The 15972-nt window shown below is 41.1% G+C and overlaps 1 protein-coding gene across 12 annotated transcripts in view; it reads left to right on the plus strand.

The window, feature by feature from the left end:
* SRGAP2 (SLIT-ROBO Rho GTPase activating protein 2) overlaps positions 1-15972 on the plus strand; it is a 260896-nt gene that overhangs the window by 3079 nt on the left and 241845 nt on the right. The window lies entirely within an intron of this gene.

Genomic DNA, 15972 nt, shown 5'->3' on the forward strand with positions numbered 1-15972 from the left:
AGATCAGAGAATAAGGCCACCCACGCCCGGTCTCCGCCCTCACCTAAATCTGAATAGAGTTGGGAGGATGTTAGGGTAGCCGGTTGGTGCTGATTCTGGAAAATGGGAAGACATAATTGTTTAACCCTTCTGTGCTGTGGCCCTCTGCTCCGGAAGACATGCTTTTAAAGCCCCATTTCCCTCTCCTGAAAAATGTGAAGGGTAAAGCAAAATGTGGACTAGGAGAAACCAAGTGACCTGTCTTCTCATCTAGTCGACTGACTTGACTCATGAATAAGAGCCCTTACTCAGATAGCGTTTTTTAAACCAGCAGTTCCCATAGGAAGGGTTCCTGCCTGTTAAAGAGCTGCAGCATGTGTTTGTGCAAGGCACTGTCCCTTCCTGGTCAGTCACTGGAAAGAGCCATGTGGCTCCAGCCCATTGAGACCTTAGCTGGGGAGTGGAAGAGGTGGGTGGCCTTGAATGTTACACCACATGGTTGGAGCTCTGGGTTTTCCTTTGTTTCAGAGTACAGAGGGAGGGGCCCCTCCTTTCCCTGCACCAGTGCAAGGAGACCTTTTCCTATCAGAGAGGACTTGGGAAGGGCCATGGCTCCCCTCTAATGATTGCTGGGGGGTGGGGGTAGGTGTAGAGTTTGAAATGGGCAGCTCCCTTATCTCTTGGAAGGTTGGAAGGTAGTCTGAAGTCCTCATTGTACCTACAGGATCTTTTTTATGTCATTAGTTTGGTCAGTGCTGGAGGTGCCCTAAGGGGCCTTCTATCCACTTGGCTGCAAATATTGGTAGGTTTATTACAGAGATGGGGGAGTTGACTGATTGATAGCTTCAGTTGAACTGGGATTGAGAGAGGTGTGGTTGTGAGTTATTATTGAGGTCTTGGCCTCTTGTCACTGTTCATAATCCAGGCTTGTTTTTGTAAACAATAGGCCACTGGCCTCCATGTCCTGTCCAGATGCATTGCATTTGCTCTTGGAATCCCCCCTGCAGTTTTAACCAGATATGTCTTTTTTTTTTTTTTTTTTTAACACATCCTATTCTTAAACTGTTGCCATCGGGAGTGTTAATAACTTTGATCTTCCCAGATTTCTCTCCAGAAGCACGCCATTTGACTAAGGTGCAAAGTGACTTTAAATGTTTAATTTTTGGAAGGTTCAAGGCTGATAGGTGTTAATAGAACCATATCTGCCAATTTCTTATTGGCAAAGGATTTCTCAAGAGTGTCTCAAAATTAAACACTTTGGATATTTACAAACATTGCTCATTGAGATGATGTAATGCAGTCGGCTATTTGGGTTCTCTCTTCAACCTTGCCACAAACAGACTATTTTGCTTTGCTCTGATATTTTCCCATTGATACTATTCAGGATCATAGAATTTTATAGGTGGCTGAGCATGATGTCTTACTCCGAGAAGGTGCCTGATGAATGCTTATGGAACTGATTTGAATAGTTTAGTCCTTCATTTTACAGCTGAGGAGAATACAGAGAACTGAAGAGGCTTGTCCAAGGTCACACGGCTAGATGGTGGCAGATCTGAAACTAGAAGCAGATTTACCAACTCTCAATTCTCTATTCTGTATCTTTACTATGAAACATCATCTGACCAGGGTGGAAAAAAATAAAAAATTCTTAAGGAGCCCAAATCTGTCAATGAATAATAATAGTAATAATGATAATGATAATAGATTACATTTTGGTTGCTCATTATGTTCCAGTCCATCCCAAGTGCTTTAAATGAATGGTCTGGTTTAATCCTTACCTCAACCCAGGAAATGGGTATTATTGTCACCTTCCATTCACCATATAAGGAAACTGAGGCTTAGAGAGGATGAGAAGCCCTTCCAAGGTCACACAGCCAAACCATGGCAGCTTGACTTCATTCCTTTATTCATTAACTATTTATTGAGTGCTTGCTGTGTGTTCTGGTGATTGGCCATACAGCTGTGAAGAAGAAAAAGTCTCTACCCTCATGGAGCTTATATTCTGGAAGCTGGGCTCTCTATGGAACAGCACAGAATTTGGAGACAAAGGGCCTGCGATCTGGTTTGGCTCTGCCCCCGACTAGCTAGAAGCCCTGGGTCAGAATTATTATGAGTGTCAGCTTTTTGTGTGTTATATGGGACTCATGGTGCTGCCAGACTTACTTCTCTTACAGATGCCAAGATAAAAAGAAAATTGCTGTAACAGCTATGCAGTTTGGTTTGGTTGTTAAGTGCAATTTTTAGAGTCAAAGTGATTCAGGTTTAAATCTTGGTTCTGACAGTAGCTAGCCTTTCACTTCAGGCAAGTTACATGACTTGTCTGAGCCTCAGTTTCCTTATTTGGAAAATAGGTAAAATAAAATACATTTCCTAAGATAGTAGTGAGTTGTTGATGAGATATATAAATTATTTAGAACAGTATCTTGCACTTGTAAGTGCTCAATAATGGTACGGTCTACTTCTCTGTGAGCCTTTCTTTTGCTGAATTGGGCTGACTATTGAGGCTGCATTGCATATTCACTCCCAAAGTGCCAGCTATTAAATGATAGGAAATAAGTAAGGAATGAAACTTAAGTTCTAGCTTAAGATCATTTAGTTGTAACAAAACATCTTGGGTCAGTCACTTAAACCCTCTGGACATCAGTTTCTTTTTCTGTCAGTGAACAAGTAAACTAATTATTGGCCACTGTGGTTCGGCCTGTCTTTGACCAGAGTCCCAGGTCCTGTTTTTTCAATCAGAATTGTTTGAGTCAAATGGACTCTAAATGGGACCCTCATCTCATGGGACTTTCTGGGACCCTCCCTATCCCTTGATTTTTGCCTCCCTATAAACCACCTGCTTGCATGTGCCCTGAGGAACTCCTGAGGCTTCAGCCCCAACCCTACCCCAGAGTGGTTTTATGAGGGGTGTGCCTCCTTAGTCAGCCTGCCTTGTAGTGTCTTCTTAAAAACCATCATTGTTTCTGGTTTGTGGGTGCCCAGATTCCTTGGAAAGTTCATGCCTCTCAATGTCTGACTTGAAAGCAATAATATTCTTAGTCTTTTTACATAGCTCTTTCCAATTTACATTATGCTTTCATATGTAGTTGTCCGTCAGTATCCTCAGGGGATTGGTTCAAGGACTACCCCCACTTCCCCCAGGATACCAAAATCTGCAGATGCTCAAGTCCCTGATAACTAATGGTGTGGTATTTGCGTATAACCTATGTACACACGTCCTTCTGTATACTTTAAATCATCTCTAGATTACTTATAATACCTAATACAGTGTAAATGCTATGTAAATAGTTATACTGCTTTTAAAATTTGTATTATTTTAAATTGTTGTATTGGTATTTTTATTGTTTTTTTTTTTTTCTTGAATATTTTCCATTCCCATTTGGTTGAATCTGCAGATATGGAACCTGCAGGTATGGGGAGGGCTGATGTACATTAATCTCTGGAAATTCTTTACAACCCTGGTCAGATTCATGGTCATAAACTGAAGCCTTTGGCCTCTAGCCTGTTAGCTTGTTGCTGGGATTGGAGCAGCGAAGGTGGTAAGTTGCAGGGCATGGTTACCAGGGTTGTGAATCTGGGTGGTATTTGGGTGAATACACATGACTGTATACAGTCCCAGCTATTGTTCTTTCCTTATTTAAGGCCCCTTTCCTTTACCCTCTCTATACCTTGAGTTTTTACAGTCTCCCAGAAAGCTTGAGATTGACAGTTCATGCAAATATTCCAGAAGAAATAGTCTGAAACAGGGTGGCACTGTATGCTGAGCAGTCACATTTTCTTTCTCGAGAACATTAGGGGTCTTGTCTTTTTTTTTTTTTTTTTTTTTTTTTTTAATGTCTTAGGAGAACAGTGTGTGTGCACCACAGAGCTGGAAGCGAAATTTTGTAATTTCCATCTGGAGCATTTTGATAGAAAAAGTGCAGGCCTTTGCTTGGAACAGTTTAACCCTTTCAGGACCCTTCAAGAGCAGGAGATGAAATTTAAAACTGGAGTCGTATTGTGTGTGTATATATACTTGGGAATGTTGATGGCTGGTATATAAACAAGCTCTTTCCCTTGGGAGGTCTGAGCAGTTTTTCATTCATGCCAACAAAGGTCTTCTCCAAAGCTTCTTTCCTCACAGCTCCCATTCCCCAAGGGAGCTTTAAATATAATCAGTTAATCAGTTTTAAATATAATCAGTTAAATATAGTCAGTTTGAAAAGCTGCAGTAAAACATTTAGTTGGAATCCTCAAGCAGATGCTATCATTTTCCTGCAAGATGATTGAGGGCTCCTGTCCCTTGCTCAGGGGAAAAAACAACAACAAAAAAAGCTACTCTGCAGCAGTAAGGTGAACTGGAAGAAAATGAAACTCTTGGAAACTTTCAAGTACCATACTCTGCATCTTGCAATTGAAAGACCCTAGAGGAAGGTGGTGGGCAAGGAGCCAGGGGATGCAGTGTACTGTGCAAAGAAGCAGTAGTTGGAAACAGTGTTCATGAGGGGTCCTTAGCTTTTTCAATTTCAGGTGTTCTTGGGGAATGAGAACAGAAATTTCCTTTGAAGAAGCCTATCTGGTAATTGTGGCCACATCCGTTATGTATCATGCAGGTTGAAAACTTAGACAGGCTCTGATGATTTCTCTGCTATGAGGTGTCCAGAGATGGACCTGGCTGCAGTATGTAGGCGCCCTCACTATTAAAATCAGCAGGTACCCAGACCCTGACTCCCATTATTCACTCCAGATAAACTGGGCTACCCAGTGGCACCTGTAGAGTTGTCCTTCCAGAAGTGAGAATGCTTCATGGGAATTGTGCTTACCTTATACCCTTGACCTCTGACAGCTACATTAGGAAAATATGTCATATTGCAGGGAAAAAGCAGTTGATATGTAGATTTCTGGTAGTAATAAAATTAGCAGTTTTAACCTGGTGTCAGCTCCAGAATTGACTTTTTGGGGAATCTGGGAAAGTTGCCTTGGAAGTTGTTAGGTTTAAACATAAGTAATAACAGCACTTAAAAGCATTTTAAAAAATTACAAAATTAACACCCTTACTGATTTTACAATAATGTGTAGGAACTCTCATATCTCCCTTACTCTCTGTAATTGTGGTAGAATACACAGGAGGTTGACCATCTTAACCATTCTAGAGTACAGTTCAGTAGCATTAAGTACATTCACATTGTTGTGCAGCCATCACTACCATCCATCTAAATGACTCTTTTCATCTTGCAAAACTGAAACTTTATACCCATTAAACAACAGCTCCCTATTCCCTCCTGCCCCTGTCTCTGGCAAGCACCATTGTACTTTGTCTCTATTTGATAACTCCAGATACTGCAGGTAAGTGGAATCATATTGTATATATTTTTTGTTACTGGCTTATTTCACTTCCTATAATGTCCTCAAAGTTCATCCATGTTGTAGCATATGTCCAAATTTCTTTCTTTTTTAAGGTTGAATAATATTTAATTGTATGTATGTACCCCATTTTGTTTACCCATTCGTTCATTGATGAACACTTGGGTTGTTTCCACCTTTTGCCTATTTTGAATAATGCTGCTGTGAACATAGGTGTAACATAGGGGTGTTCTTTTTTCTTTTTTCTTTTTTTTTTCAGATGGGGTCTCACTCTGTCACCCAGGCTGGATTGCAGTGGCTTGATCACGGCTCACTGCAGCCTTGACCTCCTGGGCTCAAGTGATCCTCCCACCTCAGCCTCCGAAGTAGCTGGGGCTATAGGCACATGCCACCACACCCAGCTAGTTTTAAAATTTTTTGTAGAGATGAAGTCTCCCTACATTGCCCAGGCTGGTTATTTTTTTTTTAAAAGGTACACTATACCAAAGTTTTACAAGCCTGTATATACATTTCTATATAATCACTTGTCCTGATAAATTTTTTAAATTTAAGGTTTTAATATGTGCATTAGCTTGTATATTAGTATATTATTAATTATAAAGTTGTACACCTTTTAATAATTACATGAATTACTAAACTTTTACCATATTTTTAATAGCTTTATTGAGATTTAATTGACATTTAATAAATTGCACATATTTAAGGTATACAATTTGATAGGCTTTGACATATATAATACCCATGAAACCAGCACAATCAAGATAGTGAATGTAATCATTACCCCCAAAGTTTCTTCATTATAATGTATTAATAAACCAGTACTATTGGCCAGGCACAGTGGCTCATATCTGTAATTCCAGCACTTTGGGAGGCCAAGGTGGGAGGATTGCTTGAGCCCAGGAGTTCAAGACCAAACTGGGAAACATAGTGGGACCCCATCTTTGCAAGAAAAAAAAACAAAAAACAAAAAACTGGCTGGGCACGGTGGCTTACGCCTGTAATCCCAGGATTTTGGGAGGTGGGCAGATCACCTGAGGTCAGGAGTTCAAGACCAGCCTGGCCAATATGGTGAAACTCTGTCTCTACTAAAAATAAAAAAATTAGCCGGGTGTGGTGGCAGGCACCTGTAATCCCAGCTATACGGGAGGCTGAGGCACGAGAATCACTTGAACCTGGGAGGCAGAGGTTGCAATGAGCTGAGATCTCGCCATTGCACTGCAGCCTGGGCAACAAGAGCGAGACTCCATTTCAAAAAAAAATTATCTGGGTGTGATGGCACATACCTGTAGTCCTAGGCTCTCTTAGGATGATGAAGCAGGAGAATTGCTTGAGCCCAGGAGTTCGAGATTGCAGGGAGCCATGATTGATTGCACCATTGCAGTCTAGCCTAGGTGATAGAGCTAATAATTATGTTATAGAAGAGGCATTAACTTCAAGATAACTAAATGAAAGCCTGGTATTAACAAATTTTAAAAAGTAACAAATAAATAATGATCTAAGCTACCCAGATTAGTTTCTGGAAAATTTGTTTAACCAAGACAATCTCCAAGGAAAGTCAGGCTAATAATTGTGTCTCAGCCGTTACTCTGCTTTTAGGAGGGAAGGTACAGGATGGAGTGAGAAAGAAAAGAAAAAAAATCATGGCCATGTTAGGAGTGGACAAATGACAGTGTCTGTTTCCATATAGAGTTGGCTTGGCTGGGTGTGGTGGCTTACATCTGTAATCCCAGCACTTTGAGAGGCCGAGGCAGACGGATCACCTGAGGTCAGGAGTTCGAGACCAGCCTGGCCAACATGGTAAAACCTCATCTCTACAAAAATACAAAAATTAGCTGGGCGTGGTGGTGGGTGCCTGTAATCCCAGCTACTCAGGAGGCTGAGGGAGGAGAATCGCTTGAATCCAGGAGGCAGAGGTTGCAGTGAGCCGAGATCATGCCACTGCACTCTAGCCTGGGTGACAGAGCAAGCCTCCATCTCAAAAACAAAAAACAAGCAAACGAAAAAATAGATCTGGCCTGAACTAGTCCTAGGGCCTCATGCCTTTTTAGAAGGGGTCACAAATAAGCCAGATGTCAAGGAGAGGGGCTAGAGGCTCCCACTGGAGATCTACTCAGAATGTTCTTAATATGGCTTCTTTCTTCTAATGATTGACTCCCTATTGCCTGCTAAATACAGACCAACTTTCTAAGGTAGACATGAACTTCATTCTCAATCTGACTGCAACCTATTGTTTCGACCACATTTCTTATTTTGCTTTAAGAGGACTGGAAGCCTAACTTGACTGCTTACCATTCTTTAAACACATAGACTACTAGCTAACATTTGCTGTCTGTTGGATGTTTACCACTTACTAAGCATTATGCTAAATACTTTATATAGATTATTCCATAATCCTTACTCCAACTTTAGGAAAAAGATGTTACTAGTATCCCATTTTACTGATGAAAAAAGTGAGGTGTAGGACATTCAGTTATTTCTCCAGGGTCTGCAGCTGGTGAATAATGGAATAGGAACCTTGGTTGTCGCCAGAGTCTAAGTTCTACGTGTTGCTCATGAAATGCCCCTTTTTCGCTGCGCAGTCCCGTATCTTCACCTATTGAAATCTCATCCTTCTGCTGGGGGCAGTGGATCACCTGAGGTTGGGAGTTCGAGACCAGCCTGACCAACATGGTGAAACGCTGTCTCTACTTACAATGTAGAATTAGCTGAGGGTGGTGGCACTTGTCCGTAATCCCAGCTACTTGGGAGGCTGAGGCAGGAGAATGGCTGGAACCCAGGAGTTGGAGGTTGCTGTGAGCCGAGATCGTGCCCTTGCACTCCAGCCTGGGCAACAAGAGTGAAACTCCATCTCAAAAAAAAAAAAAAAAAAGAAAAGAAAGAAAGAAATCTCACCTTTCTGGTAAAGCCCAACGTTTCTGGGATTCCTTCCTTAATTGCTCTGACCAGAAATAACCCTTCTCTCTATTTCACCCACACAGTTCTTCTCTTAATAGATCTCATATGGCATTGATCTCATACTGCCTTATGTTTGGAATATTTGTATTTCATTCTTTTTTCTTCTACCAGACTTCTGAATGTAGGAATGTTTTGAAGTTGTGTAGTGCAATGCAAAGAATACAGGCTCTGGAACCAGCCCTCAGTTGGAGTCTTGTCAGCATCACCTCCTTGCTGTGTGACCTTGCTGAAGTCACTCAACTTCTCTTCCAAGCCTCCTTTTCTGTGATGTGGAGATAATGAGACCTGCCTTGCTATTAATTGCAGTTGTGTTAAGAGTACTGGCTCAGTGTATGGCAAATATTAAATGCTAAATAAATAGCTTATTATAAGGTCCCTTCAGATAGGAAACGTGTCTGGAAGACTATTGTAGCTCAAATGGTGGCTCTCAGTAAACACTTATTGTCTGTAGTACTGAATGAATGGATGACCTAACTACTACAAATAATCTTTTAGAAATAGTTTAATTGTATCTTGACACTGTGTCTTGCACAATGTCACCAGAGTGATTTTTAAAAACTCATTTTTTTTTTGCTAACATCGTAGCATAAAAGACTGTTAATATTAATCACTTCCCACTTACCCTGCTTACATTTTATACTGCCTTACAGCTGAACTGCCTCTAGTTTCCTTTCTTTATCATGTTGTGTCATGGTTTGTGCTGTATCCATGCTGTGCCCTCTCTTTGGAATGGGTCCTCTTCCTTGAACCTGTAAAACTTATTCATCCTTTAAAGCAGCTCAGATGCCACCCCTCCAGGAAGCCTTCCCTGCTCCCCTGTGCGGGATCCCAAGCAGGATTCCTCAGCATCTCCCCTTGCCTTCTGCACAGAGTTCATCAGTATGCTCTCAGCATCTCCTCTGCAGTGTCTTTGTACACTCTTGTATTATTGCACTCATCATATTACATTGCGATCTCTTCATTTACATCTCTTTGTTTACAACTCACTGAGCACCTTCAGGAAAGAATGGTCTTTTATTCATTTCTGCATGTCCAGCTCCTGACACATAGTAAGCACTACAATGTTTATAAGTTGAATTGAACTGTCTTCTGAGTTGAGTTTGGATGTGATAGTGCCATGATGGCACGCTTCTGCATTTCTCCCCGACTCCAGTAAGAAACCCATGCCCTATGTTAATATTATTTGAAATTTGATATAGATTAAACTTTGTGAATATATTTGCATTATACAAGGACAAGTACAAACTACATAGCCTTATGGATCCTCCCCCACGGGGGTGTGTTTCTCCTTAAATTTATTGCTGGCACAGCCCTCTTTAGAATCACTGCCCTCTTTAGAGTCACTGCCCTAGAGCTATACTTGCTTTGACCAAATTTCTTCAGTCACATCTCTTACCTTGGAAACCAAGAAAAATGTTAACACTGAAATTCCCGAGAGTTTAAAACAAACATAAGGCTTTCTGTAATTGAAGCAAAAACACATTCTACGTTTGTCCAGGATTTATTCACCATTTTAATCAGGCACTAAAAGTCTAAGTTTGAGAAAGTTTGTCTGTCTTGACCTGGAGTTAAAACTGGGTTGACCTGAAAAAGGAACTGTTTTGTTCCTTTTTCAAAGCACGGTGTGGAGAGAGCTATTGCCTGGTTAGAAGCAGCTGTGAGATCTTTGGTAAATGGGGAAGGAGAGGTCCTAAGGAACAAGCAGGAAAATGGTCCCTTATGATTTTTCAAGTCATTTGGTATGAAATAGCCTTGACCTTATTTATACGTTGTGAATGAATGGTTCTGAACTTGAAATATGTATTCGTGAGGAAGGAAAAACAGTTGGGACATGTTCCTCCATTTTGGTGTATATTTTAGGATATCATCCTTTAGGAAGAAGGCATATTCTCTTTGTTTTTTTGTTTGTTTGTTTGTTTGTTTGTTTGTTTTTCTTAACCATATCTTCTAAATGCATTAATCAGTGGAGAGGTGACCCAGAAATCACTGTGAAAGTTGGGACCTTATCTTTGCTGTTTGAGCCCAGATCTTGCATTTAGAATCATGGCATGGTGGGCAGGATCTGAATACTCTCCCTGGAGAAGATGACCCTGGCAGCCATGGGTGGCTGGGTGGCCAGGGCTCCACAGGAGGACAAAGCACAGAAAACAAAGGGACTTAAGAGCATGAGCTGGCCATGACAAGCCATGCCATAAGCTTTAAGAAATATGTCTTGTTTCTGAAGAGTTGGCTGTTGCCAACTCTTCTCCAAACATTGAAATCCCTTAGAAATCTGCTTCCTTTCCCCATTAGATTTTGTGTGTGCGTGTGTTTATTATTTTGGTAGGCGGTGGAGATACTGCACTAGAGCTTGTCAGATGAGTAAGCTGCTCTTTGGGAAGACATCTTGACTGAGGTACCTATTCTGGAGCAACATTTCTTTTGGGCCAATACAGTACTTTGTTACGCGTTGAGCTACAGGATTCTACACAGGCAGAATGATCCTAAGGGAAAGTGCTGGATTGGGAGGCAGAAAGCTTGGGTTCTAGTTTAGCTTTGTCATTGGCTACCATGATTTTGGAGATAACTCACCTAAGGTCTCAAAATCCCTAGTTTCCCTATAAAATCCCTGTAAGATGGGAACAACAATTCTTGGCCCTTATAATAATGATGATGATGATGGTTAGCGTTTATCAAGTGCTTCTTATGTCTCAGCTCTGTTTTAGGTGCTTTACATATATGAACTCATGAATTTCTCAACAGTCCTGTGAGGTAGCTGCTATTATTATCCCCATTTTACAGATGACGCACAGTGAGGTTAAATAACTTGCTCTGAAGCACATGGCTAGTAAGTGATGAGGACAGATTATGAACCCAAGCTGACTTAACACTGGTGTGAAGCTGAAATGAAAGAATTCAGTTGAAACTATGAGATGCTGTACACACTCAGTTGATTGTCCTCATTTCCTAGTAACTTGGTACAATAAAGAATTAATGCAGTGTTTTAAATGTCTTTCTGTTACATACCTACTGTACCTCCCTATGCCTTGGTATTCTCATCTAAAATACTAGGGGTTAAACATTAGAAACTTTCTAAGGTCCTTCCAGCTTTCAGGGTTCATGATTTTTGCTTATTAATACGTTGAAGATCGGCCTGGCTGGGTGGCTCAAGCCTGTAATCCCAGCACTTTGGGAGGCCGAGGCAGGCGGATCACCTAAGGTCAGGAGTTCAAGACCAGCCTGGCCAACATGGTGAAACCCTGTCTCTATTAAAAATACAAAAATTAGCTGGGCATGGTGGCGGGTGCCTGTAATTTATCTTAGCTACTTGGGAGCCTGAGGCAGGAGAATTGCTTGAACCTGGGATGCGGAGGTTGCAGTGAGCCCAGATCGCACCATTGCACTCCAGCCTAGGTGACAGAGCAAGACTCCGTCTCAAAAACAAACAACAAAAAAGATGTTGAAGATGATGATTTGTCCCTTTTAAGTAGACACACTTTGAAGTACAAAAACCATTATATTCTCTGAATGACATTCTTTCCACCCCCAGAACTTGCCATGCCTGCATGGCTGCTGCACACTTATGGAGGGTAGGCCCCAGGTGGTAGGTAGTACCAGAGTGGCAGCTGGCCTGGAGAGCAGTTGAAGTGATACTTGTTGAAGTATCACGATCTAATAGGAAGATGTGCCTCACAGCTGGAGAAAAATCGAGGGGAGAGAGAGTTACTTGATGGACCTACAGGTGAACTTGTGACTGGATCACTTTAATCAGGATGTTTTAATCAGGATAACTATTAAACTTTGGACTTCCAGTAAGCTCAGAGACTTCTAGAGTTAGAAAATTCCCTGCTGTAACTGGTTTGTATGGTTTTCCCCATCCATGTTGGTAGGTCAGAAATGGAATTTGTGTAACTCTTAGTATTACAGATATTTATGTTGTTGTGTGCAGTACTTAAATTTAAAAGAAAAAGGAAGTTGATTGATTGTCCTTAATGAAAATTAAAGAAATAAGGAAGTGGGAGGCTCTTAATCTCTGACATCTGGTCTGGGACAAACCTGGGGGAGGCAGTGTGGTTATGGAACTGGTATAGGGTTGATCTAGACATCTGGGTTGTTCGGGAAGTGACTTCAGGCCCTTTTAGGATGTGGAGTGGCCTCTTGCCTCTTACATTGCTCTTTATGTATTAGGCCTTTTGTCAACTAAGGATTTCTTTGAGGATTGTGATGAAGCATGCTGTAATGTGGAATTGAAATGTTTTCATGTTTATGTTTGTTTTCCTTTCGCCTAATGAATAGGCTAGTAATAGTCTGTTGTTTTAAATGAGTACTATTAATAATAATGACAGCTCATATTTTTATCATTACAGCATTTAAAAAATATCATTCATAGGGAGGAAGAAATGTAGGGTAATGGAGGACCAGCTATGTAATGTTGAAGATGTCATTCCACCTTTGGGATTCTCAGCTTCTCAGCTGGAAAGTGGAAAGATGGATTACTAGTTCCTAGCTTCATGATTTTTAGGACATATGAACAAAAAATGGCTATTGTTAAGTGAGTTGTCACATAGAGTCTAGATGTTGATTATTGTCCTGGGGGAAGGATAGAAACCAGAGAATAGATAGCACAGGTTCTTCCTACTCCCCTCTTCTACTTCTGGTTTAAGGTTTCATCTTTTTTTTTTTTTCTTTGTTTTCTTCTTAAAGGTTTCATCTTTAAATGACATTAATTAGGCTTTGTGTTTTTAGCCATTTTTAGAGTCCGTTGTGCTGTATCTCCTGATCTCTCTTTTTCAGTGATTTGTGGTTATGTAAGTTATCTCAGTTCTTTGCTGTCAGCAATTTTAAATCAAACATTGAAGCATTTTGGGTAGATGACGTGTTACTTTGATTAATGAGGTTCTTGATCTGGATATTTTAAGGCCAGTAACAACACAATATGGAAACACCTAATTCTCCTTAAAACTGCAGTAGTGTTCTCACTGCCAAAGCTGAAACCGATTTGTGCTGGTTACTTCTTTCTAAGAGTGAATGTGTGCGTATGAGCTTTCTTTTGCTGTTTTGGCCAGGGAGTGGGACTGCCAGTCCAGAAAGGCCAGCTCTTCTGGATTCAGTAGCAAAAGAGTTAATCATTAAGCAGAGACAGAAACCTCCCAAGTTTCTAACCTTCTCTTGCGTTAAATCTCCTTACTCTTATTAGAAGAAAAGGCATATGCACACTTATGCATGCGCGTGTGCACGCACGCACACAAACACCATACACACAAATACTCTAACAAAACTTAATGTAAAATGATCTCATGTTTATGAGAGCTGGAATTACTTGGGAGGGATACTTGTGTTCTGCAGGCTTAGTGGGCACGATGTGAAAGCAAGGCTATTTGGCCTGTGGAGATTGAAGATAAGAGCGTGATATGTAATTGAGTAAGAATTTGAAAAATTATCCGATAACGTTAGGAGCAGCAAAGCAACTGCTTCTACTTTTTTATGCTTGAAACTATTTGGAGTAGGAGTGAGGAGCTAGCATTGTTTTCAGGGCATGGGAACCCCCTCCCCACCTCACTAGCCAAATATGTTTGCCTAGGCCGAGAGTGTCAGATCTCTGAGAGATCTTGACAGAGTATTTAAATACATTCTGCCCTCGGACAGTTCTTCAGTGTTAATCATTTCAGGAAAAGGGCCGTCAGCTAACCTTTAAAATCCTTTCCAGAATAGTATACCACAGCCCACCTTCCCATCTTGTTCCAGTGACCCAATCTATAAATGGTCAGTTCCTTCATTTGCAGAACTTGAAATAGTTTAAAGAAGAGACTTGATGAATTGAACTCATGTTTTTGCTGCTGTGGCCACACCCTCTTTACAGACATTTGCTTCATTTGGGTTCTCAGCAACTTGGGAAGGAGGAGGCTATTGATGAAACTTTCAAGGCGTTGGCTTATAGCTACTGGAGTGTTCTTTCCTGTCCCCTCCCCTCCTCACTTCCTCCAGTGTTGGGACACTTTGTATTGAACAAGAAGATCATGAGCTAATTTCAACCTGGCAGCCATTTATTTAGCACCTACTGTATGTTGTCTTTTTTTTTTTTTTGAGGCAGAGTCTTGCTCTGTCACTCAGGCTGGAGTGCAGTGATGTTATCTTGGCTCACTGCAACCTCCGACTCCCGGATTCAAGTGATTCTCCTGCCTCAGCCTCCTGAGTAGCTGGGATTACAGGCACGTGCCACCACGCCTGGCTAATTTTTAAATTTTTAGTAGAGACAGGGTTTCACCATGTTGTTCAGGCTGGTCTCGAACTCCTGACCTCATGATCCGCCTGCCTCAGCCTCCCAAAGTGCTGGGATTATAGGCATGAGCCACCGTACCTGGCCTATATGTTTTATACTATGCTAAGCTGTGGGCATAGAGAGATACAGAAAAAAGTTTCTGCCTTCAAGGAGCTGCAGTCTATTAGAAATGTCTTAGTCCGTTTTCTGTTGATTATAACACAATGCCTGAAACTGGGTAATTTGCAAAGAAACCATTTTTTTTTTCCGGTTCTGGAGGCTGGGAAGTCCAAGATTGAGGGCTGAATCTGGTGAGGGCCTTCTTGCTGATGCGAACTCTCCACAGAGTCCCAAGGTGGCGTAGGATATCACATAGAGAGGGAGCTGAGTGTGTAAACTTGCCAGCTCGGGTCCCTCTTCCTCTTCTTAAAAAGCCACTAGTTTCACTGCCAAGATAACCCATTAATCTATTAATCCATTCATGATGACATGCCTTCATGATCCAGTCACCTCTTGAAGGCCCCACCATGGGGATTAAGTTTCAACATGAGTTTTGGAGGGGACATTCAAACAATAGCAAGAGGGGTGATCGGATTACACAAGTACAGTGATAGGGTCATAGTAGAGAGATATCGAAGGCTCTGTGGATAAGGAATAGTCTAACAGTGAGTAATGCTGATGAGACTGGTTGATAGAGGAAGATGATGATGTTACCTAGTATTTACAGGGCACAAGGCAGTCGAAGTGCCTTGCCATACTTTATCTCATTTAACCTCAGAATTGTACAACACAGGGCAGGATGATATCCGGCCTTTTTTTTTTTTTTTTTTTTAATATTTTATTTTGAGATAATTATGCATTCACATGCAGTTGTAAGAAATAATGCAGAGAGATTGCACATACCTGTTACTTAGATTCCTCTGATGGTTAACATCTTGCAAAACTATAACACAATATCATAATCAGGACCTTGACATTGATACAGTCAAAATTCTAAACAGTTCCATCACTGCAAGGATCACTCATGTTGTCCTTTTCTAGTCCTGCCCCTCCCAGTTCACTCTTTCATCTCACCCCACTTTAGTCCTTAGTCCTTAACTGCTGGCAACCACTAATCTCTTGTCCATGTTTATAATATTGTCATTTCAAGAATATTATAAAAATGGAACCATTAGCATGTAGCTTTTTAGGATTGGCCTTTTTTTTTCACTGAGCACAAGTCTCTGAAGACTCATTCAGGTTGTTGTGCATATCAATAGTGTATCCCTTTTTATTGCTGAGCAGTATTCTATGGTATGAATGTATGATGGTTCGGACATATGGGTTGTTTCCTATTTTAGGCTGTTATGAATGAAGCTGCTCTGAACATTCATGTATAGATTTTTGTGTATACAGGTATTTTTTAGAAAATAGAGATAAGCCAGGCATGGTGATGTGTACCTATAGTCCCAGCTACT

Source organism: Homo sapiens, chromosome 1, assembly GCF_000001405.40.
Source record: "Homo sapiens chromosome 1, GRCh38.p14 Primary Assembly".
Taxonomy (NCBI): Eukaryota; Metazoa; Chordata; class Mammalia; order Primates; family Hominidae; genus Homo; species Homo sapiens.